The sequence below is a fragment of the Homo sapiens genome, chromosome 2 (genome assembly GCF_000001405.40).
Source record: "Homo sapiens chromosome 2, GRCh38.p14 Primary Assembly".
NCBI lineage: Eukaryota > Metazoa > Chordata > Mammalia > Primates > Hominidae > Homo > Homo sapiens.
Genome location: NC_000002.12, coordinates 177,130,809 through 177,155,448, shown reverse-complemented (window position 1 = coordinate 177,155,448; position 24,640 = coordinate 177,130,809). Strand labels below are relative to the sequence as shown.

The 24,640-nt window shown below is 36.7% G+C and overlaps 1 long non-coding RNA gene and 1 pseudogene across 1 annotated transcript in view, besides 1 other annotated feature; one reads left to right on the top strand and one right to left on the bottom strand.

The window, feature by feature from the left end:
- LOC105373760 (uncharacterized) overlaps nt 1-24,640 on the top strand; it is a 101,257-nt gene that overhangs the window by 10,062 nt on the left and 66,555 nt on the right. The gene's annotated exons all lie outside the window — the stretch shown is intronic.
- Nucleotides 6,351-7,074: an enhancer, noted in NCBI's record as "NANOG hESC enhancer chr2:178013103-178013826 (GRCh37/hg19 assembly coordinates)". NCBI's record gives its function as "activates a minimal SCP1, AML or CMV promoter by ChIP-STARR-seq in naive H9 embryonic stem cells {active_cell/tissue: H9 hESC(naive)}" and the evidence as "EXISTENCE:reporter gene assay evidence [ECO:0000049][PMID:30033119]".
- RNA5SP112 (RNA, 5S ribosomal pseudogene 112) lies at nt 16,652-16,750 on the bottom strand (annotated as a pseudogene).

Here is a 24,640-nt window from a genome sequence, read left to right as displayed (position 1 = left end):
TCTGCCTCAGCCTCCCAAGTAGCTGGGATTACAGGCATGCGACACCATGCCCGTATTTTTATTTTTAGTAGAGACAGGGTTTTGCCATCTTAGCCAGGCTGTTCTTGAACTCCTGACCTCATGTGATCCTCCCGCCTCGGCCTCCCAAAGTGCTGGGATTATAGGTGTGAGCCAGCATGCTCAGCCAAAAGTTTTCCTTTCTAATCAAATGAGGAAATTTTATTGAGATAAGAATGGGCATGGTGGCTCAGTGCTTAGGGAGGCTGAGGTGGGTGGATCACTTGAGTCTAGGAATTTGAGACCAACCTGGGCAACAAGGCAAAACCCCATCTCTACAAAAAATATAAAAATAAAAAAAAATTAGTTTGTTGTGGTGCTGTGCACCTTTAGTCCCAGCAACTTGCGGGGCTGATGTGGGAGGATCACTTGAGGCTGGGAGGCAGAGAGGTTGCAGTGAGCCTGGATTGCACCACTGCATTCCAGCCTGGGTGACCAGAGCAGGACTCTGTCTCAAAAAAGAAAAAAAAAAAAAAAAAAGAAAGAAAAAGAAGAGATGGGAAAGTCAGACCTGTTGGTGAAATGAGTTAGGCAGTGAATTGAACCAAAATGTAAAGTTCTATGTTTTTAGCTAATAGGAAATAAAATATACTGAGGGTTTGGTAACCTCTTAGGACTTTGAACCCATGTATAATTACATTGCTTGATAGTTTTCCCCCCAATACCATCTAATCTGAAGTTATAGCAAATAAAATACAAATTAAACAATGCTAAAAATATTTTTATCTTAAATCTCTGTTCCATAAGTAAATTTAAAAACTTTAGGAGTCTGCAAAAATGTACTATTTTAATAATTCACTCTTTTTTAATCTTTAAAGTGAAAGCAAGTTTATTAGGAAAGAAAAGGAATAAAAGAATGGCTACCCCATAGACAGAGCAGCCCCAATAATTCATTCTTTGCAAAGCTTTCTGGGGTATGATGATGCTTAACAGACTGGGTCAGTTGCAAAAATAGTTTTGCAAATGTTGGTATAAAAATAAGTAATATATGTAGAAAGCAGATAAAACTTATTTGGTGACAACTAGATTATAATGATGCAATTTTAAGTTTCAGATAGTCTCAACTTAAATCTTTAGTGAAATACATTAGTTTTTCAAATGATCAGAACTCAGCAAAATATATATGAATGTGAGATGAAGGGTGCTAAAATTTCCCCCCCCTGGATTTTTTTTAAAACAACTACATTAAAGAGTTACTACCCTTTGAGAATAAGGATATTATTTTCTTTTTGAAGGGAAACACTGTACTCTATAGAATGACTTGTACTGTCTTTTGTGCCATTATTAATACATTTCCTGTTTAAGGAAATGACTTTTTTTTTTTAACATGATAGTTTAAACTTCAAAATAAGTGCTATTGACTTTTAAAATGTCTTATCTTACTAATGTCATTCTGGGCATGAAGAATAAAGTGTGGAAAATGCTTGTCATAATAATCCTATTGTCATGAGATTCTCCTTTTTGAATAAAATAGCTCACATTTGTTGTTTCTTTTCTGGGGAGTGGCAATTGGGAAAGGGGAAAGTAAGTTTTGTAGATAAAGCAAACAGATCCCTCACTTTTAGATTAGTGAAGGATATGGTGATTTTTAAAAATACAAATATATACTATACCTATAATATATATTAAATGTCAGATATATCTTCCAGAGATCTTGCCTTCTTATTTACAATGGCCATACAAATGTCCTCATATAGTTCTATTTAATTGATTCTGTTTCCTTCATTTCTGTTTTTCTGTTCTTTCCTTTCAGTCAGCTTCCTCAGGTTGAATATTTTTCTGTTCTTATTGCCTTCTTCAAAACCACCATTTAAACTTTAATAAGATTCAAATTGAGATATTAAGCACAGAAAATAGGAAAAGTTTTAACTGAATTTTTTACGTTATATACTTGAAGCATGTTTCATGAATGAATAACATATGATTTACATGCATTTAAAATAGTATGTAGATTGCACGATGAAAATGCTATCATTTACTGAGTGGAATCTATATTTTCATTTAATTTAATATTTTTCACTTATGAAATAAGCAAGGTAGTTATGCAGCATATGTATATATATATATGCATATGTTTTATAAAAGCATACGTTTTAAAGTTTTTCCTTTTGGGAAAAAATACATACTTGAATATAGTTATTGAGGCCTTACTCTTTTTTTTTTTTTTTTGAGGTGGACTCTCACTCCATCACCCAGGCTGGAGTGCAGTGGGACCATGTTGGCTCACTGCAACCTCCATCTCTTGGGCCCAAGCAATTCTCCTGCCTCAGCTTCCCAAGTAGCTGGGATTATAGGTGCTCACTACCATGCCCGGCTAATTTTTTTATGTTTTTAGTAGAGATGGGGTTTCACCATGTTGGCCAGGCTGGTCTCGAACTCCTGACCTCAGGTGATCCACCCGCCTCGGCCTCCCAAAGTGCTGGGATTACAGGCGTGAGCCACCGCGCCTGGCCGAGGCCTTACTCTTAAAACCAAGGTGACCCTTAGTTTTGAAAAGTACAGAGCACTATAATGAATGATTAACAAATTATGCTCTGCAAAACAAAACTTAGTTGTGCATTAATACTAGTAGATACTATTTCTGCATTCTTATTTGTGCTAGGCAATGTGCTAAATGCTTTATGTACATTAACCTCATTTTAGTTCATTTAACTTCACAAGAAAGCCGTTGGTTAGGAATTTTTACCCTCATTTTACAGGTGGGAAAACGGAAACAGAGTTGAGTGACTTACTCAAGGTCTCAGAGTTAGTCAGTGGTAAAGTTAGTATTTGGATTCATGGCTATCCAATTACCCATACAGCATATTGAACAAGATCAAGAGGTTTAAAATACCTGTAAAATTTTTGATTAGTTAAATATGATGTGGAAAAATATAATAATGATGGCAATAAATAACCAATAAATGTTAGAAGACAGAGTTTAAGAGACAAGGATATGATACATAACCCCTTTTCTCCTGTAGAAGTAGATGAGGAAGTTATAGTAGAGGAGATGCGATGATAGTTCTGTAAAACTGTGAAGTAAGCATTGATTATTTGCTTGATTCATTAATTTACTTAACTAGGTTTTTGTTGGCCACTCTGTTGGGTGGTGGTATAGAAAGATCAGTAGGAAAGGTGCCTGCCTTTACAGAGTTGGCAGTCTTTTGAGTATGTAGACCATCCATGGGTAAATAGTGCAGAGGTTCAAGAATGATCATAGATTGTACTGATTACAAAGGAAGGTATATAATGTAGAAAGAGGTGCATGGTGGGTGGGAGGGAGACCTGTCCTGAGTTTTAAAGTTCATTATGTGAGGCAGGTAATATGGTCAAGATTCCAGGTAGAGAAAACAGGTGGTAGAAAGCCAAGAAGGTCCAAATGAGAGTGGGTAGGTTAGTGCAGTAATTGATGAGCCCGAAGACAGACAGATAGAAAGACTAGATCTTCCATGGCTGAACAAGATAGAGGTTGCTATAAGGCTGTGGGGAAGAGGCATGGTGAGATCCACATGTTAGGACAAATGCACTGGCTGCAGTGTGGAGAGAGGGTTGGAAAGGGGCCATGCTGGAGAAAACCAGTTAGGAGGCTGTTGCAGACAGGAGGAAAGTGACAAGGGCCTGATAGTGGGCAATGATGGGGGTTTTAGTGAGAAGGGGACAGCCCAGGTTATCAAAGAAAACGAGAAGAAAAGTTTCAAGGAGGAAGAAAAAGTAAATAGTATCAAATGATGTAGAGAAAAGATATTCATTGGGTTGAATAACAAGATCTCTGGTGACTCTTGCTAGAGAAGCAAGTGTTAGTGGTTCACAGAGAAGCCCATGGGGTGGAGGAGTGACCCAAGGGTGAGTGGGAAGGAAACACAGTGAGTGCCCAGTGTTTTCCTTTGCTACTCCCTGTGCTGATTTCCTCCTCTACTTCCAATCTCGGGAAAGAAAAAAAACACTTATTGGACAATTAGTGAAAACTAGTGCGTGCTGTAAGCCTCAAAATGACCCTATGATGTTGGGCCCACTGTGATCTTTATTTTCTAGGTGGGGAACAAAGAGCTTGAGAGATTTATACCCCAGCCCAAGATCCACAGTCATTAAATGGCAGGGCTCTAGTTCAAATCCAGGTCAGTGTGATTCCAGAGCTCACAGTCTCACCACTACTCTCTTCTAGAATTTACAGTCTTCATGCTTTGCTCTTCTCTCCTTCCCTCTCAAGACTGCAATCATGGAGCTGATAGACTTATTTTCACCAAAACATAAATGATGGGCACAGCTTATTATGTTTTTTTTCTGGATGCATTTTGAAATGACCATTGGATGTACTTCTTTTGCATTTTTATTGTGAAATACAGAACCAGTTTTGGCACTTTATGTAAGTGGAATCATTTGTATTCTTCTGTGTCTTGCTGCTTTTGCTCAAAATTGTATTTTGCGATTCATCCATGTTGAGTGTGGCATTAGTGCATTCATTTTCAATGCTGAATAATATTTCCTTACGTGAATTTACCATGTTATTTGCCATGCTATTTTATTCTTTAGGGACTTGTGGGTTATTTCTAGTGTTGAACAATTGTGACCGATGTTGTCTCTTTTTTTAAAAGTTCATTTTTCTGTTCAAGAAGGTCTAAGAATGTGATTTTAAACATCTTTAAATATTTTAGGAGGTCAGGATCCCTTTCCAATTCCCTTGAAATGAAACCTGACAAGTGGTTCCTGTGGGTTCCTGATTTGCTTACTCATGAGACCAAACCTGAGAAGTCTGAGGAGCATTTCTAAATTAAAATGTTTAAATAGGTCAGGTGAACTGAAAAAACAAAGAAACAGTTATTACCAGATCTCCCATTTCCCCTAGCTCTTCCACTTCATTGTTGCAATCTTAGCGAAATGCAGTCAGCTTGCATATTTTCCTGCATCGGTCCTTTGATCAGTAAAGTAATTTCTTTTCCTTCCTTTGTGCAAATCTTTTGATTATAGTAAGTTCATTCTTTAAAGACCAAACGTGGTAAAAAATATTAACAACTTGAATAATTTTAGCAACTATCTAAAATAACTTATTTTGCAGGGGATAAAACTAGAAATATTTACTTTTATAAAGTGAATCATCAAAATATAATACAACCAGTAATAAGATCATAGTGTATCATATATTTTAATAACAACATATAAGATAGACACAGTGTAGTATAGAAGTTCAGGGTATAGGCTCTGGAGTCAGAAAGACCAGGTTCAAATTTCAGTTCCACTTCTTACTGCCCATGTCAATGTGGTGAATTTCTTAACCTTCTAGAAGTAGCTTTCCTCAATTATAAAATAAGGATAATAGTAGTATCTATTTTAATAGGGCCATTGTGACCATCAAGTAAAAAACCTCAATAAATGTTAGTTGTTGTTGATATATTTAGCACATCCAAAGGGTAGAATAACCAGAGTATTTATTAACAAATCTTGTCAGAGATAGTTATCTGCTTATGTTATAGCTATTTATTCAACATTTAATAGGCTCCTCTTCTGAGGCAGAGGTTGTGGATCAGACAAAAGTACAATTTGTGGAGGTAAGACAATTAGAAAATTATGATCAAGTGGCAATGTTAAATAAAATATATTTGAAAACATAAAGTAGGAAGTGATTGCAGAATGTGGATCAATTGAAGGTACAACTTTCTAGGAATTGTATTTTGAATTTGATCTCAAACGAGGTAATAGCCACAACTTTGCCACGAAGAAAATTGAAGTTCTTTCTTCCAGAAAATGTGTGCATGTAAAGAATAGAAGGAAAAATGAGTACGACCTCTTTTGGGGGATAATAGGAATGGAAACTGTGAATGGAATGGGTGAAGAAGGGAGACATAATTGGTGGAATATTTTATAAACAGCTTTTCTTAAGACTCATATTTATTAGATGGTAGGAAAAATAAAAATTCAGTTCCATTTGGATTGGCTTACTGAATTATAAACTTATTAAGGCAAAATGTGACCAATCTGGCAGATTAAAGAAAAGTGGTAATATTTTGGCAAAATAAACTTTCTATATTTTCCTTTTCTTAATAAAGATATAAATAATAAAGCACTTTGACATTTCAGAGATTTGAAATTTATATTGAAAAACCACTCTTGAAATTCCTGTCAGTCATTTGAATCATTTGCTTCTTTTGTCATCTTCTTGTTACTTTTTTTTTTTTTTTTTTAAAGATAAGACTCCTTCCCTATTGCTTCGACTATAGTTAGTATTTTCTAGGTTGGCTGTAGGGATTGTTCCCTGAAGCTTATATACCTCACCACGCGTTGACGACTCCCCCAGGTCAATAGAATCCACTAGGTGGCGCCCAGGTCTACTGCCGCGTCTCGTCTCCGCTGGGCGCAAATCTTGGAACAGCTGTGGATGTTCGAGGAGTGGTTGGAGAGATCAATATGATCCATGTGGAGCAGCTTCCCTACCGTCTGCTCCAAAAGGCTGTAAGCCTGGTGTCCTTCAAACTGTTACTGTAATGAAATACCCGAATATGGACAATGATGGTGTGGTTTTGAGTACGAGAAAGCCTGCGGTTTTGCTTCGTGAGACTTAAAGACGAGCAGGCAGACAGGCATCCATCCAGCTGCAGTTCATAGCCGATGCCCCCGACAAGTAGCAGGCTGGCGACTGAGAAGCTCCCCAGAAGCTACCTTTAATGCCCAAAGATTGATTTAGGCAATGACACTGCAATGTACGGAAGGGGAAAAAGGGACGAGAGGAAGGTATCAAAAAGAGGGAGATTATTTCAATATTAACTTGAGTGCAGGCATAATTCGCTCTCATTTCTGGCAGGCAATTGAGCACTCTGCTTCATATGCAAAATCGAGGGTACATTCTGATGTAGATTTCAGATAGCGGGAAATGAAGGTATTTTGTTTTTCTTTTAAATTGCATTGGGCAATTTCCTTTCTTATATGAAACGCTGTAGGCTTTGTACAATTATTTTATACGTTATTACCATTCTTCTAAAAAGGGACAGCTTTTTTCTTTCCAATTTAAAGTAGTGGATAATGACTTTGGCAGCATTTTCCTGCCTTTTTCAAGTTTATGGAACCCATTCCTCATCATTAGGCTGAAGATGCAGATAAGAAAGGACGAGCCTTTTTCTGGAGCTTGTCACATCAATGTTGCTTCTTAGGTGATTAAAAAGAAAGCAGCGAGGATCTTGGAGAAAACGTCTGACAAAAGGTAATGGAAACCCAGAAACAGACGAAAACCGGTGATAGATTAGGCAAACCTTCTCTGCTAAGTGCATGTGTGCATTTCAGCTCAGGAACAAAAATAAGACCCTGTTCTACGGAGGCTCTTAAAAAACTGACCTGTGCTGGCCCCACACGCTAAGGTTTATTTGAGGCGCCCGAAGGTGATTAGATCCAGGAGGAGGCGTTTTTCTGCAGTTTAGCTTAGGAACTCAGAGCCAGCCAAATGCTTACTGCAGCTGCTTGTTGGCTGGTTCAAAGGTATAGAGCTGCTTTAATTAAAATCGGCAGGCGCGTTTTGATTTTGGTCAAAATAGATTTTGTTATTTTTAAACTTCCTGTGGAATTAAAAAAAAAGTATTTTTATTCCCTTTTCTTTTGTCCAGCATTCTTATTCCCATTTCCATCCTCTGCTATCATAATAATGGGAGGGGGTTCAGTATGGAATTCTAAAAATCTCCCCAGGTTTATCTCTTCAGGGATACGCGATGGTCCAACAAAAACATCTTTAGCACAAATGTAGCTTGGAGTATATGGAAATTGTGTAGTAGTCACAGAGGTATTTCTTAAAAATATCTTTGCTAATAATTTTGGTAGGCTAGAAGTAGATGAGTGAACATGATATTCAACTATGGAAGGTATTTTGCCTGGTGTTCAGTTGGTTTATTGTTTTGAAGGAGGGAAATTGGCATGCAATTTAATAAAGAAAGTACTTTTTCTAAAACGAAACATTTATTTCTATTTATTAAAATATGGTATTTCAATATGCAACAAAGAAAAAATGATTTCTGGTATGATACTAGAAACAAATCTGGAAGTGAAAAAAAGGATGACTAAAAAACATTGTAGTTAACAATATAAATCTCTAGAAGCAATATACTTTTCACCTCTGGGTGCCACTGTTCAACTGCTTCTCGTTTTTATGACTGTTTGAAAGCCAGATGCTTCTTGTAGATGTATTCTTAAAAGAATCTGTTAAAGAGACATTTTCTCTATCTCTAGTTATCTGCTAAATAACTTTTTTGGCACCTGGAGTAAATTCAGCATGGTTGTGATTTTCCATTTTAATTACCAAATGATGACCAAATAATATTGAAGATTGTTTATATGGGCAATTGGCTAGGTTAAAAGCCTGATTTCATCTCTTATGGAAATGAATTTTGTATTTGCCTTTCTGGTAGGCATTTAACCAGAAAAAGCCTTTAAAACACAAGGGAGTTTTAGGTTAAATTTGTTATCATTTGTAGGTATGATTTTAATTCTGCACAAATGTTTCAATACAAATAAATTTTATAAAAGAGAAGTAATGGGTAGACATTGGAAGGAATTAATCAATGAAAATATAATTTCAAGAACCTAACTTTGTTAACTGAAATATTATTTTTCACTTAATTTTAAAGCTTAATTCCTTTAGCAATTCCATGAAAAAAACCCTACAGGAATTTGTCTACATATTTTCTGAATTCTTCTCAGGTGTGATTATTTTAATAAAAATAACAATATTTGTAATTTTGCAAAATGTATGAGTAATTTTTTTTTTTTTACAAACTAGGCAGTGAATTAGTATTTTGTAACAAGAAACAAATGCACATATTCGGTTGGTTTTTAAATCTCTAATTACTTATTTTAAACTTGGGGCTTATCAGAAATGCGAGAGAAAGTGGTTATAATGCCAAAGTTAATTTTGTTTTGTCATATACAAAGTAGTTAATCTAAAAATTATTGATTGATATTCTCCCTCTTTTAACTCTTTTAGGACTCGATATTTAAAGCAAAACTAATTTATCTAGGTGTTCTACGGCACAAAATTAATTCTCCTGGGACTGGTCCAGGCCAAGCCTCATTATGGAACGGTTCCTCTTGCTGAACTAGTCTAAGCCTGATTCTTACTGGGATACTTTTTTAGAGTTATTTGCAACAAAGAATTTAACCCTTGAGAAGCTACAGAATTGACTTTCAATATTATACATATTAGGCCATTTGAGGGGATCAGGAAGACATTAAAATCAGAGTGTGTTTTTTCCTTGTGGGTGCTTCCTGGGACTTTGAAGTTAGGCAATTGTATTTGTGTATACTGCAGGGATTTTAGTTTTGTAATCATATACCAGAATTGAAGTGTTCATTTAAGACATTTTTTACCCTTCCCTAATCTGCATCACAACAAGCATATTACTGACCCTGTCTTTTTCATTTATATATAAGTGGTGAATTTACCTCTTTGCCTGGGTGCCCAAATAGTTGTTCAGATCATACAGCAAGTTTCACTGACTTTCTTTGCTTAATGTCTAACTGAATCATTTGGTTACTTGGTGTTTTTGTGCATACATAGACCCCAAGATTGTAACTGTTAAACAGCTACAAAAGTAGTTCAGCATCATTCATCAGTTATATTTCCTTTACTGTGTGTGTGTGTGTGTGTGTGTGTGTGCGTGCGTGTGTGTATAATATCTTTGCAAAATATTATTGGCGAATAGATTTTTTAAATGTCAATTTTTGTGTTGACTTTTTGCCTTTTGTGTAGCAGTTAGTTCATAAAGATTAGGCCATTTTCCACTGGAGAATCTCTTGCATTTTAAGGTTCTTTGCTCATTGTGGGCATCTTACCAAATTTTTTCACTGAAGTAGTTTTCCTCATTCAAAATGCCACATTTTCTATTAGAATGTTACTAATCTGGCTCAATATATTTTCCCTTTGTGGCTGGTAAGGAATATTTATTTGATGCTAGTGAGGCGGCCCAATCTACCAGCCAGGTCTTTCACAGAGAACAAGATGGTGGTCAACTTGAGGATGGGTAAGTGTCTTTGTGATGGAAAGCAATAATTTAGTCTTTAGTAGGCTGCTTGCTCTACATGCTAACAAACCGACACCTTTCCTCACTCCCCTTCTCCCAGACAGATTTCTGTTGGATTAGTAGTAGGTTGACTTGTTCCGTCTCACATAGATATACTTCCAGAAGGTGTCGCGGTGATGCTGTGAGACTTAACTTGTCAACCTAAACTCTTTTTATCTGAAATGCAATAACAATTGCCAAGTTTTCCTAATATAAAAATAGTCTAAATCAATTATCCAGGCTATTGTTAAGCCACACTAAATTATGGGATTAATAAGCAAACATTCAGGTAGTTCAGTGGCATTTGATAAGGAAATTTAATTTACTCACATAAGATTACACTTAGAAAATTATTGGCCAGGCGTGGTGGCTCACTCCTGTAATCCCAGAACTTTGGGAGGCTGAGGCGGGGGATCACCTGAGGTCGGGAGTTGGAGACCAGCTTGACCAATATGGAGAAACCCTGTCTCTACTAAATATACAAAATTAGCCAGGCGTGGTGGTGCATGCCTGTAATCACAGCTACTCGGGAGGCTGAGGTAGGAGAATCGCTTGAACCCAGGAGGCAGAGGTTGCAGTGAGCTGAGATCACGCCATTGCTCTCCCAGCCTGGGCAACAAGAGCGAAACTCCAGCTAAAAAAAAAAAAAAAGAAAATTATCCATATAGGTCCCATTGTTTTCAATAAAGTAAAGGTAGGTTTTTAAAGAAAAACTTTGTAAAAACATACTCTGGCCAGTGAATTTAATTTCTCTGTAAAATAATAGCTTTTTTTTTTTTAAAAAGAGTCTTGCTCTGTCACCTAGACTGGAGTGCAGGGGCAGGATCTTGGCTCACCACAATCTCCTCCTCCCAGGTTCAAGTGATTCTCCTGCCTCAGCCTCCTGAGTAGCTGGGATTACAGGTGCGTGCCACCACATCTGGCTAATTTTCGTATTTTTAGTAGAGACGGGTTTCACCATGACGGTCAGGCTGGTCTCGAACTCCTGATGTCATGATCCACCCTCCTTGACCTCCCAAAGTGCTGGGATTACAGGGCGTGACACCGCGCCCGACCTAAAATAATAGTTTTAAGAGAAACTGCTGCCTTGTGAAATTGAATTCTCAGTCTATAATGTGGCGTATGCTTCTGTTTTAAATTCATTATAAAAGGTATTTAAACTTCATAGATTTCTTCCCCCTGTGTATTTTTGTCAGCCTAGACGCACAAAGAAAGAAGAATGCTCTATACCTTGTGGACATTTAATAAAGATTAATTTTTTTAAACTAACAATTTAAGTATAATCTCCAAATGGAAGCATATCTATGTTAGTTTAAATCCTTTCACAATAAATAACAGAATACAGGAAACTTTTAGGAAGGTTTATGATTTTCCATAAGAAAAATGTGCTTAGAGCTTAGAGGGGAACATTTTACAATTTTTTTAAAAAAATCTACATCTTCCTTCTGCAGATATCAATACAATCAATTGACAGTAAATGAAAAAGCCGAAAAAAAAGAATGCCCCCTCTCCAGTCTTCCTTTTTTTTTTTTTTAATTTCAGTTGGAAAATCCCCACTGAATGAATTTTTTTGAAAAAGTAAATGTATCCTGGGAACATGCCGTTCAGGATTTTGGAAAAGGAACTTCAAACGAAATTGGTAAGGGAGGCAAATGCGTAAGTGGAAACTTTGAGGAAACTGGCAATGAGAGACTGGAAATCAGGCAGTCATTTACGTTTTACTTCACCACCCTTTGCTTATGTGAGTACAAAGCAGGGAGCTGGCAAGGCTGTGAGTCAGAACTCTCCTCTCAGGAACTGAGCAGAGAGATTCCCAGCATCTGTTTCCTCAACTATCACCCAGAGGATACTGGTGGTAAATCACAGGGAATAAAAATAGCCTCAGAAGTCTAGTTCCAGACAAATAAGGCATGCTGGATATTCGATAGTGGTTTGGGGTCTCAAAATTCTTCATTAGCTAAATAACAAATATATTATTTTTTACATTAATGAGCATATTCCTTACATTGTTCACCTAAATGTTGAGCACAACCTTGGCATTTCTACTGACGTGAGTTGAAGTATTACCTAAATTACATTATGTTTGATGTTACAGTCTGAACCATTTAGTGTATAAAGGTGGGTCTACAATCAATAATCACAAATGTTAAAGCTTTATTTTAGATACAATAAAACATTTATTTCTAAGATGTTAAAAAAAAACCCATAAGCTTCTTACCATAATGTCAATTGCCAATAGATTGATAAGATCTTTCTGCATTTTGACTGCAGGAAATTTTATGGCTAGAATCTTACAATTTACACAACTTACAGTCTTTTTAGGTTATATTTCACATATAAGAAAGTATTTTTTAGGTCTGCCTAGAAATGTTGTAATTTGATATTAAGTTATAGCTTAGATTTTCAACAAAAACAGCAGCTGTAATAGATGAGATTAGCAAGTGGTGAAAAGTTCAAAGCATTTAATGGAATTGATCTACTAAATTAGCATTGACAATTTTTAGTGGCTATCTTAAATATACATTATTATCATGAAAGAATTAGTCCAATTAAGCCTTTACATTTGGAAGATGCCCAGTCTGACCTTGTTCTACTCAATGTGAAAAGTGAGAGGGTCTTTGGGTTTATTTAAATTTGGTGTTAAATCAATTGGTTTGGGGGACCTTTTACTCCTTTTTGGAATGGAAGAAAAACTCAAAGGCTATTTATAGTGACAAATGGGTTATTAGAACAGTTAATATATTATATTATAATTTATAATTATAAATTATAATTAATATAATATATAACAGTTTTTATATTGCAAATAAAAAATGATGACCAGGAGTTGCTCTGAACCTATTCTGGTTTAGGGAGCTGCCCAGCTAAAAAAAAAAGAAAAAATAATGATTGAAGAATAGAACAAAATAATATTTGATACATAGGTGAGAATCAATTAGAGTGGGATTCTTTTCTCACAATTTCTTACTAAAGCCATATTTACTGGGTATACTGGATGTATTTTGGAACTGAAATAATTATATTGTATTTAATATCAGGTTTTATTTAGAACACTCTCAATTAAGAAATAACCAGCTAATAAAAAAATAGAAATCTATGCAAATATACATGAAGAAATAAGTATGGGATTTTCCAGAAATCTAATTTCTATACATCAATAGTATATTTTATATTCTGTTGATACAGACTTCTATGATAACTTGAACATAAATATCATGAAAATAAAATTGAGTTTTGAATTGTCAGTTTAATTGTGCAAACTCTCTGATGATGGCTGGTTACTCATTTATCATGAAATTGTGGAGTCTTGGCTCTTACGTAAGGGGCTTGGTTGAAAGGCCAGCTTCTTAATTCACAGCGGCTTATACGTGAGTCTTCATTGGAGCTCAGGAGCTAGCTCTTTTGTGAAAGCATTTAGTAAAATATATTTTAGTTGAGGTTTTTTTTTTTTTTCTGTTGTTATCCATTCCAATATTTAATGGTCCATTTCCCTAATCTGGGCTTCTAACCCAGACACTTTTGGACATTTTTAATAGAAAAAGATGTCTTTTGCGTAAGATTTCTTCAAAAAGAAAATTGTAACTAATTTACCCCCCAGCTTTCTCTTCTATAAACGGAAAAATCCAATTCTCATTTATCAACTCCCCACCTTTTTAAGTTCTCCTCTGAATGCTCAGCAAATTATTCATATCCATCTTTAAATATAGCACTCTGAGGGGAGTTTAGTGCTTTATTAAGGTATCTGAGGAAGATGGGAGATGATCTCATTTATTCCTGAGGATGTATTGAAAAATCCTCTCTCTGCCAGACTCTGCTAGGTGCTGGGAATACAGTAAGATTTAACAAAAACCTTGAGGGAGAGAAAGATTTGCCAACAAGTAATGGCAATACAACATGTTAAGTGCTAACATGGGTGTAGACAACATGCATTTGTCTGTCAGTCCTAATTCGGTATTCATTGTCAAAACAGTATTTTAAACTGCTACAGCAATGCCTACTGACAGTCATATTTCTATGCAAACAATTTCTAATTAGCTCCTGTAATTCAGGTGTGTACTTTGAACACATTTTTCCATACTACGTTTAATCTACATTTTGTTTCTTATTTGTACAATTTTATCTTAAATTGTTATTTTACCTTCTAAATTTCATTTTTTGGCCTCTTCTGTCTGTTATTCGGGTTGATATCAAAAACACCATTTGTCGTCTCCTCAATTTGAATGCTTTAGTTAGAACTCCCCAGCCAATCTATAGTTAATGAATCAACAGTTGTCTGTTCCTGGTCTATTTTCCTAGCATGCCTTGTAGGAGAGAATCAAAAGCCTTCCTAAAGTCCAGCTTAGGGTTCATCAGTTAATTTTCTGTGATCCATCAGGCCTTCCACTCTGCTATGTAATAGGATGACTGTCTATTATCTACATAGGACAAGTTCTTTGTGAAGCTATATTGATTATTAATGATTGTGTAATTAGGTACGCTCTCAAGAGTTCTGGTTATTTTGGTCCTTTTTTGAATCTCTAGGCATCTACTCAGTTCTCTGAATATTACACAAAGGTAGGGACAATAATTTTGTACCACTCATTCAGTGTTGTCAAATGGAAACAAATCAGAGCTGGGGCTATCAGAAAAGAAGTGGGCAAGTCATGCATCCTGGTCATCGTCTATCACATGTCAGCATTAGCTTCTGCATAGTGCAGCACTGATCATGGCATGATGCAAGCTTTATTTGGTCACCATGGACAAGTATTCCCCTTTTATTGATTTGTAATACACCATTAAGCTTCATTGTAATAAAATTGGACATGATAGATAGCAAAATGATAAAAACCACCTGTAATTCCCCTAACTAGAGACTAGCATTGTTAGCAGTTTGGTTTACACATGCACGTTGGTGTATGTGGATGTGTGTGTGTAAAATGTGTATAATAAACATACATACTGTTTTGCATCAACCCACCTTTTTCACTCAGTACTACATAGAGTTCATTTTTCTAAGATAATGCACATCATATAACCATAGAAATTCAACTTTTCAGTATTGAATCACAACTGTGTTCTTTTTGTTGTTCAATAATACTTCTCTAACTCCATGAGTAAAAAGAAACCTCTCCTTCACTCATACCTCTCTTATAGCATTATCTCTTTTTAAATTTAGGTAGATTCCTTATTATCTTAGTAATTGCAGTCTCTGAGAGTAGGATCTATACATGATTTATCCTTATGTTTCTTACATTTTAGCTGCATAATAAATATTTATTGAATAAATGAATACATGAATTTTAGTAACGGGAACTGAAATCTTGGAACTTCATGTTTTGCTTTTAGTTCTGTCTCTGATTTCACTTTGTACCTCAGTTTACCCAGGTACAGAAAGGATATAAAGCAATTTGTCACTTACCTGAAATCACCAAGCTATGAAATATACCACGAAGCTAATGTGCCACACAGCTGGAAATAGTTCTTTAATATTAATCATTTTGAATGAAATTTTTCAGATGCACTACATACTTTATTACTATTTTTTAGCAAATGAAAGATATTAATGTAAAACAATTGGAAAATACAAACAAAAAAATTCTACTAGTAATTCTACTACCTAGAAATGAACATTATTATTTTGATGTCTGTACTTCCAACCTTTCTTTTCTATGTATACCCATGTATGTGAAATATAATTTTCACTATAGATTTTTATCAAATTGTGATCCTAAATACTATCATTACTTTTTCTCATTAATATAAACATCTTTACATGACAATAAATTATCCCTAATAATCAATGTTGATGATTATATAGTATTTCATTATGGGAGTATGCCATAATTTACTTAATCGCTCCTCCCCTTATTGAGTATTTAAGTTATTATCTACTTTATATATTATAAATTATAAAAAGCATTGTAATGAATATCCTGGTTTACAAGTCTTTGGACATTTGGCAAGGAAAAGTTTTAAATATCCTCTTTTAAACAATCAAGTTTAGGCAAGTGAAAGTCCCTTTTTCTTCCATCACAAGATTAAACAATAAATATAGCTTATCTGAATAAATTTCTTTAGTGTATGAGATGGACTAAGATTTTTAAAATTATTATAAAATAAGGGCATGCTACCCTGATTGATGATAATGGAATTACTTTCTGTCTCAAGTTGATTCTAGAATACTTGTTTGGCCTCATTTGGTCTTTTGTGGCATGAAAAATGTACTTCTTTATTAGATTCAGTCATATAATGGAAGAAATGAGATTCTAAATGTTCATGTTTCCTGGAAGAAGTTGCTACCTAGCTGTGTCTTTGTATAGTTTCATAAAACTATAGGTTGGGAAGGAGACTGGTTTCTGTGATTAACTCTGTTTCTCAGTTTCCATTTTGTAAGTGGGACAGAACTAATCACTCTAAACATCTAGAAATCTTTTAAAACTTTAAAATCCAAATGCTTTACATTCTGTTCCCCCTGCTTTTGTGGTTGTACTGCAGCAATTCTGTGTTTTGGAGCTAGTTAGTAAGCACTTTGAAAACCACTATCACAGTGTTTACCCATTTTGATGAAGCTTTGAGTATCTCGGCTTTGTTTTTTAAAAGCCTATACATGGCATTTTCAGGTGGTCTCCCATCCAATATTAACTGGACCATTCCTGCTTAGCTTCTGAGGTTAGATGAGATCAGGCAGTATGGCCATATATTGGATATCTATGATTTGGCATAGAGGAAGCACTAAAGTACCATTGTACATTTTGGGGATTGATGAGAAAAGAAAACTTTGCCACTATTTTTGTATAAAATAAATCACTGTTAATTGGAGATTGTGGGATTTTGCGATTGGGAGCTAGAGAGTAAAGAGAGATCATTATTTTTATTTTAAATAAATCAATGCTGTTAATTCAGATATCCTATTCAAAAGCTAAGAAAAATTGGAGATTACTATTTATTTCTATCAAGTAACATGAAATAATATTAATTAAGTTTGGTTGATGGGAGGGTTTTCCTCCAGACAATCTGCTAAAGAGGATGTGGCCCATGTCTTGACATCTTGGAATGAAATCCAGAAACTGATAAAATTTTATCATAGTTTTAGTTACTTGTAAAAATTGTTGTGTTAGTAGAAATAAATCTACAAACGCATCCTGGATTTCCACATAGTAATTCGAAGTATTAAAGTAAAAGTGGTGCATCTGGTTGTTCAGGAATTACACTCTTCAGCAATTGAGTGGTGGTGTGATTGTTGGTGTCGTTTGTCCTCACACACCACAGAAGAATGATCTACAAAGCAGATGCTACAGAGGAAATAGGTAGGAGGCAAGGAGGAAAGAAAAGAAGCGTGGTTTACCAATGCAGTCTGAAGAGAAGGGTGAAAGACATCTGAGCCTTTGGCCAAAGAGTTTTGCCAATTCAGGTCTGGCAAAAAGGCATTGTGGGATGTTTGGGGCCCTACAAAGCTGACAGGGCCTCTGCTTTATAGGTCTCATTGGGATGACGTTCATGCATTAAGTGGTTTTGGACTTGAATTTAATCTGTCTTAGAAGGAGGATACATTAACCTTGCTTGAGTCAATGAACTGATGGCTCCAGAGAGCCAGCTGCGGGAGGATGAATTATGGTGTAGACTTGAAAAGTTATCCGACCCACGGCCCGTGGGCTGCATGCGGCCAGGATGGCTTTGAATGTGACCCAACACAGGTGTGTAAACATTATGATATATATAATATATATATATTATATAGTATTTCATTATGGGACTAGGCCATATATATTAGCTGATGAGCAAATATATATGTTATATTATATATTATATATATTATATATATATTATATGTTATATGTTATATATATGTTATATATAACATTATGTTATATGTTATATATATATGTTATATTATATATATTAGCTCATCAGCTATAGTTAGTATTAGGGTATTTTATGTGTGGCCCAAGACAATTCTTCTTCTTCTAATGTGGCCCAGGGAAGCCAAAAGATTGGACACCCCTAGAGGAAGAACCCAGAAGATGGGGAAAGGGGCTGGCTGGAGTCCTAATGCCAGTGCTGCTGACTGCTGGCTGTGTGGCCTGGGCAAGTTCCTTACTCAATCTGTGCTCACTTGCATGTTATATAAAACAAGGAGCTTGATATTGAACTCTGAAACAGTGATTTTGAGGTCATTCCCAAATTTGGGGCATTCTGGTCTCGGGTAGCCTGGCTCTGCAGGGCTGAAGGTTTTGTTTGTTCTGGATGACTGCAGGTACAGTGGCTACAAGCAAAATTTTGTCCTGAAGCTTATGCTTTATGTCCCTGGAGTTCCCCAGGGAGTGCCTATTGACATTAATGCCAAGATTTTTTTTTAAAGCTTATTTTGATATGTTGGTACATTTTATTCCTTCTTAAATTCTAAAACTGTTCATCTGTGTGTACTAGCAGCACATATTCCCTGTGAACCTACTTATCTTTTGAAACTTTAATAGAAAGGAATGCTATCAGTCAGTATTTGAGGTTGATAGGCATTCTGATAAAAAGGAGTTACTTTTGTTCTTGATCTGATTTTTAAGTAATCAAGAAACAATAAAGTTATGCTAACATAATCATCAGGAAACTATCTATAAATAAACTTTGAAATTTGATTTCATGAAGTATGATTGTTAGGCAACTTTATCCTTTACCTTTTCACCATTGGAATTAAAGTATTTACAATCCCCAGAAAATCATATTCTTTCTATAACAGCGTGATACATTATTTATTAAAAACAAGCCATGCTAGTATAGTATCTAACAGTTCTATTGAAGAGATGCTTATTTATTTGAGAAATTTGGAAAACAGTGTGTCTTTACTTGCTTATGTAAAAATGACTAACTGATTAATCATGGGTTTTTAAACTGGTATAGATCCAGAAATGTTTCTTATGAAAAATTCTAGCTTTGCCTGCAAGTTCTTCTTGATCTAACTCTACATATAGAGGAATGGCCAGAAGCTTGTTCAGACCCCTCAGTGTTCCCAAAAGATATCAATTTTGTATCAGCTCATTTAATCACTGATGCCTATGAATATACTTTAACTACCAATCAGGCATATTTGTGTTTCAGGTCACTGCCTAGAAGTACCTGTTGCTCGATTCTTAAAAACTCTTATCAGTTTGAAACAGAGGTGAGCAAACCTTTTCTGCAAAGGGCCAGGTAGTAAATACTTTTGGCTTTCCCATTCATATGTCCTCTGTTGCAACTATTTGACTCTGTTGTTGTTTAGTACAAAAGCAGCCATAGACAATATGTAAATGAATGAACGTGGCTGTGTTTCAAGAACATTTTATTTATGGAGACTGAAATTTGAATTTCATATGTGTCACAAATCATTATTCTTCTTTTGATTTTTTTAACTATTAAAAAATACCAAAACATTTCTTATTTTGTGGGCAGTATGAAAACAGGTGGTAAGGTAAATCTGGCCTGCAGGCCGTAGTTTGCTAGATCCTTGTTTAGAAAATTGAAATTATAAAGAAATGTTTGAAAGACACAACTGATAATTTGTGGTTGGGTATTAAATGTTCACCTGTTTTCCCCTTTTCCTGGGTACATACCTTTAGATTATACCACCAGTCTCCCTCATAGTTAGGACTGGCCATTTGACCAAGTTCTTTTTTTCTTTTGAGACAGAGTCTTGCTCTGTTGCCCAGGCTGGAGTGCAGTGGTGCGATCTCGGCTCACCACAACCTCTGCCTCCTGGGTTCAAGTGATTTTCCTGCCTTAGCCTCCTGAGTAGCATGTGCCACCATGCCTGGCTAATTTTTGTATTTTTAGTAGAGACAGGGTTTCACTATGTTGGCCAGGCTGGTCTCAAACTCCTCCCAAAGGGCTAGGATTACAGGCTTGAGCCACTGTGCCTGGACTCATCTGACCAAGTTCTAGCCACTGGCATGTGGGCAGAAGTGATGTGTTGTTGCTTCCAGGTCTGGCCTATAAAAACCTCCCATGCATGGTCCTCTATGTTCTGTTCTTGTGTGTAGAATATGGAGGGACCTCAAGAAGGAAGGAGGTTGGTGTTTTGGTTTTACATGAGTGAGAAATAAACTTCTATTGTGTTGAGACACTGAGAGTTTCAGAGTTTTTGGTTAGAGCAGCCAGTGTTATCTTAAATAATATGTCATTACTTTTACCAGATATTTTTGGTTTGATTCTTACACTAAATTGGACTCTCAAAGATTGCATATTTGGATGGACTTGTTTTTCTTCTCCTCTCCTCTTCATTTTCTCCTTTTTCTTTTTCTTTTTTTTTTTTTTTGAAATGGAGTTTCACTCTGTTACCCAGGCTGGAATGCAGTGGTGCGATCTTGGCTCACTTCAACCTCCGCCTCCCAGGTTCAAGCGATTCTCCTGCCTCAGCCTCCTGAGTAGCTGGGATTACAGGCACCCGCCACCAAGCCCAGCTATTTTTTTTTTTTTTTTTGGTGTTTTTAGTAGAGACGCAGTTTCAACATGTTGGTCAGGCTGGTCTTGAACTCCTGACCTCAAATGATCCACCTACCTTGGCCTCCCAATAGCCACCATGGCTGGCCTATTTCCTCCTTTTTCACACTTAACTGGCAGATAATAGACTGGGTTGCCTTCTGTGTTTTAAGCAATTAAAGTTTGGTGGCCATTAGCTTTCACTGAGATGTTACAAGAAACATGAAACATCATTTTTACCCTAGAGATGTTAGTGAGAAAACAGTCACTGACATGAAACCCACCTGAGGAATTCTCTTGGAACTCAGGGCCAGGAAAAACTTATCTTCCCCTGAGAAATTTGTGTTTTCTTATCAACAAAGAGAATATCGTTGAATGTACCTGATTGTATTCCCTTTTCCCTTTTCCCTCTGGTTGCCAAGAAGCTCAGAGCCAAATTTTTGGCTCAACATTAATAACTTCGTAGGACCCTGTGGCCTACATATCTGCATTCTTAGTTTCCTACTGGTCTTGACCTTCTATTCTGCTGTGTTTTCCTTGTTCCTGATTTTTTAAATTTATATTTTTTAATTTTATTGCTTGTTTTTCTTATAAGCTTCCTCAGATCCTTTGTGGAACAAAATGGCGTAAGTTAAAAAAAATGGCTTCAGCTTATTAATAGAATACACCAAAAACATTCCTTAATCACCAATTTAGTGGTGTGGGAATTAGAACTTCAAATTTATTTCTCGGGCTCTCTCCTTAGTCATTATGTCTCACGGTTTGGTGAAGGGTTGGTTTTGCAATTATGAGAACTGAAGGCCTTCACATTTCCCCAGTCTACTTTAAAGGAAAAAAAAAATGTCATTTTACCAAAAGTCCCCATGATTTGCCATGGAAAATGGAGACAGTTCATAAGGAAGTTTAACAGACAAATGATAGACTGGGAAAAGATGTTTGCAATGTTTAAAACAGCAGCAAATTAAAGTAAATAATATACAGTGACCTCCCGCAAATCAAGAAGAAAAAGATAACAAACTCAACAGAGAAATGGTCGAAAGATAGAAATAGGTTATTTTCAGATGCTGAAATTTATCCGTTATCAGAGAACAGCAAATTTAAACAAGTTATCACTCCACACTCATCCAATTGGCAAAAAAATTTCTACTTTATTTTTTTACTCACCATTATACTAATGAAGACAATCAGCAAATATTAAAAGGTGGACAATGGCAAGTATTGGCAGCCTGTGGGTGATGGGAGTCCCCATGCACTGTTGGTGAGTGTCTAGACTGGTACACCTATTAAGGAAAACAGTCTTTCAGTATTTAAACTACATAAATACATTATGACCTCTTCGAGGCATATCTTCTAGATATATTCTTCCTTAAGTTCAGTAGAGGATACACACAAAAAAGTTCATCACAGTCTTGTTTGTGGTAGCAGGATATTTGAGGCATTCTCGTGTCCATCACAAGAGAAATGGGTGAGTAAAATGTAGTGGATGCATGTTTTCCAGTAGTTAGAAGCAATATAGCTTTACAGTAACATCTTATGATTTAAAAAAAAATAGTGTTCAGTGGGCTGGGTGCGGTGGCTCACGCCTATAATCCCAGCACTTTGGGAGGCCGAGGCGGGTGGATCACCTGAGGTCAGGAGTTTGAGACCAGCTTGGCCAACATGGTGAAACCTTGTCTCTACCAAAAATACAAAAATCAGCCGCATGTGGTGGCGTGCGCCTGTAATCCCAGCTACTCAGGAGGCTGAGGCAGGAGAATCGCTTGAACCTGGGAGGTGGAGGTTGCAGTGAGCCGAGGTCTCGCCACTGCACTCCAGCCTGAGTGACAGAGTGAGACTCCATTAAAAAAAAAAAGTTTTCAGTGAAAAATGTATGAAAGATTGATATATTTAGCATAATACCATTTACATAAATTTAACACAGCCATAAAGAAAATAACACAACATGGTTTAAAAGGATTCAGACGAATTAAGTTAATGTATCAAACTCATTGAAGTACCTATGTTTAGGGTGGAGAGGAGTAGGAGGGACAGATGATCATTCACCATGAACTCAACTATTTGTACTGACATGAAAAAAAAGAAGAGTGTGTCATCCTGATAGGAAGTGGGTACTGTAGAGTTGCCTTTATATGTCCTAAGGCATCCACATCTCATATGAGAAGTCACTGGTGGTGGCTGCACAGAATATAAGGGTGGATTCAGACTCACTTGGCTTTGATCTCAGCAACAACTTTGAATTTACTAGCATTTTACAGCAGCTTGAAAGTAAGAACTTTGGAAAAATCTCTATCTCAGTAAAGGAAGTACCTCTGACTTCATTTATTCACTCAGAGCGTAGCGTGGTGGCTGAGAGTGTGAACTCTGGAGACTACTCCTGGCTCTGCCATTACTTACTGTGTGACCCTGGGCAAATTACTTCTTCTGACACGCCTCAGTTTTGATTGGTTTTGAAAGATGGGGTTAGCAATGGTTTTTACTTCATAGGGTTGTTGTGAGGATTAAACAAGTTAATATTTTGAAGCACTTAGAATGGTGCTTGGGTACATAGTAAGAATTATGTAAGTATTCATTAAATAAATAAAGCCATTTAACAAATATCTGAGTACCTAACATGGGCAAGGACTATGCTAGATTCTGGGAATACATATCAGAAAAGAGGATCTTTTTTTGTTTGTTTATTTTTCATTTTTTGAGACAGGGTCTTTCTCTGTCACCAAGGCTGGAGTGCAGTGGTGTGGCCATGGCTCACTGCAGCCTCAACTTCCTGGGCTCAAGCAGTCCTCCTGCTTTGGCCTCCACAAGTGTTGGGGATTACAGGCATGAGCCACTGTGCCTTGCCAGAAAAGAGACTGTTTACTACCTCTCATTCTGCCCTGCCTAGGTTCCAGGGTCATAGTCCTTGCTTCATTGCTTGTGCCCAAGCTCCATCTATTGCTATATCTGTGTCTTTTTTTTCCTTCTGTGTTTGAGTGTCTCTTTATTCTCTGATACATATCCTCATTACTGAAAGATTGGGACCTGGGGAAATGCACTGGTGTTTGAAGCTTCAGTCCAGGCTGCTAGATCCTCTTAATGCTAAATGCAAACCTGGATGTCTGCTCCTGCCAGGCTCCTGGCTCCTCTGACATTCTACCTGGTGGTTCCACTTGCCCCTTCCCCTTTATTGCTGGGTGGTTGCCAGAACACCTCAGCAGGTCTGTTCAAGGACCTTGTCTTTGCTAGTCTTTCCCATTATGGTAAGTGGCTCTCTCCAGAGGTTCAAGCCAGAATCCTAGGAGTTATCCTTGGTTCCTCTTTTTTCCTCCCACCTTATTGAATCCATCAGCAAGTCCTGTTAATTCTACCTTCAAAACATCTCTTGAATCTCACAGGCTTTGTTGATCCTCGCTGTCATCACCCAAGTCCAGCTTCCCACCATCTTGTTCCTGGATCCCCGTAGTCACTTCTGGACTGGTCTGCCTGCTTTCACTTTTGCCACCTGCATTCTATTTGCCACACAGCAACCAGAAGGGTCTTTAAAAAATGCAAATTGGATTACGTTTGAACTCTACTCAAACCCTTCAATGACCTCCCATTGCACTTAGAATTAGTGCTACTAAACCAATGATTTAATTTATAAGAGCAAGTTTTGAAATCAGTGTTTTCTAACCCTTGGGTCAATCTCAGAGCATTTTGCTATGAAATTTTCAAAATTAAAGATTACAATTGCAACACTTAATTGTTTAATTTTCTTCTGTGTTATTAGATATTTTGCTGCTAAAATTAGTTGGAGTTGGGAGGAGGAGCACTGGGGCATAACCGTCAGCAGCTGCAGCTTGGAGAAGCTGGTTCTCTTGTCTTCAAGAAGGCAGATCTCTCCCTAGCCTGCTGAGCCTTCTGTGTTTTGGGGAAGGTTTGTATTCTTTCTTCCTCGGGATTATGGCCCTGAGAAAGTGTCTTCTAGTTCTCATCAGGACCAGGATCGAGGACCAGCCCTGGGTCAAAAACATAGGATGTGGGTGAGCACACAGTGGGGCACTGGGCAGTACGGACTGAGTCACCAGACAGTACCTGAGCCATAGAGGGCTGCTGCTGGGGAGGAAGCAGACAGAGGTGCAATGGAGGTGAATGTGCCACGCTAGAGTCAAGCGCCTTCATCAAGATTT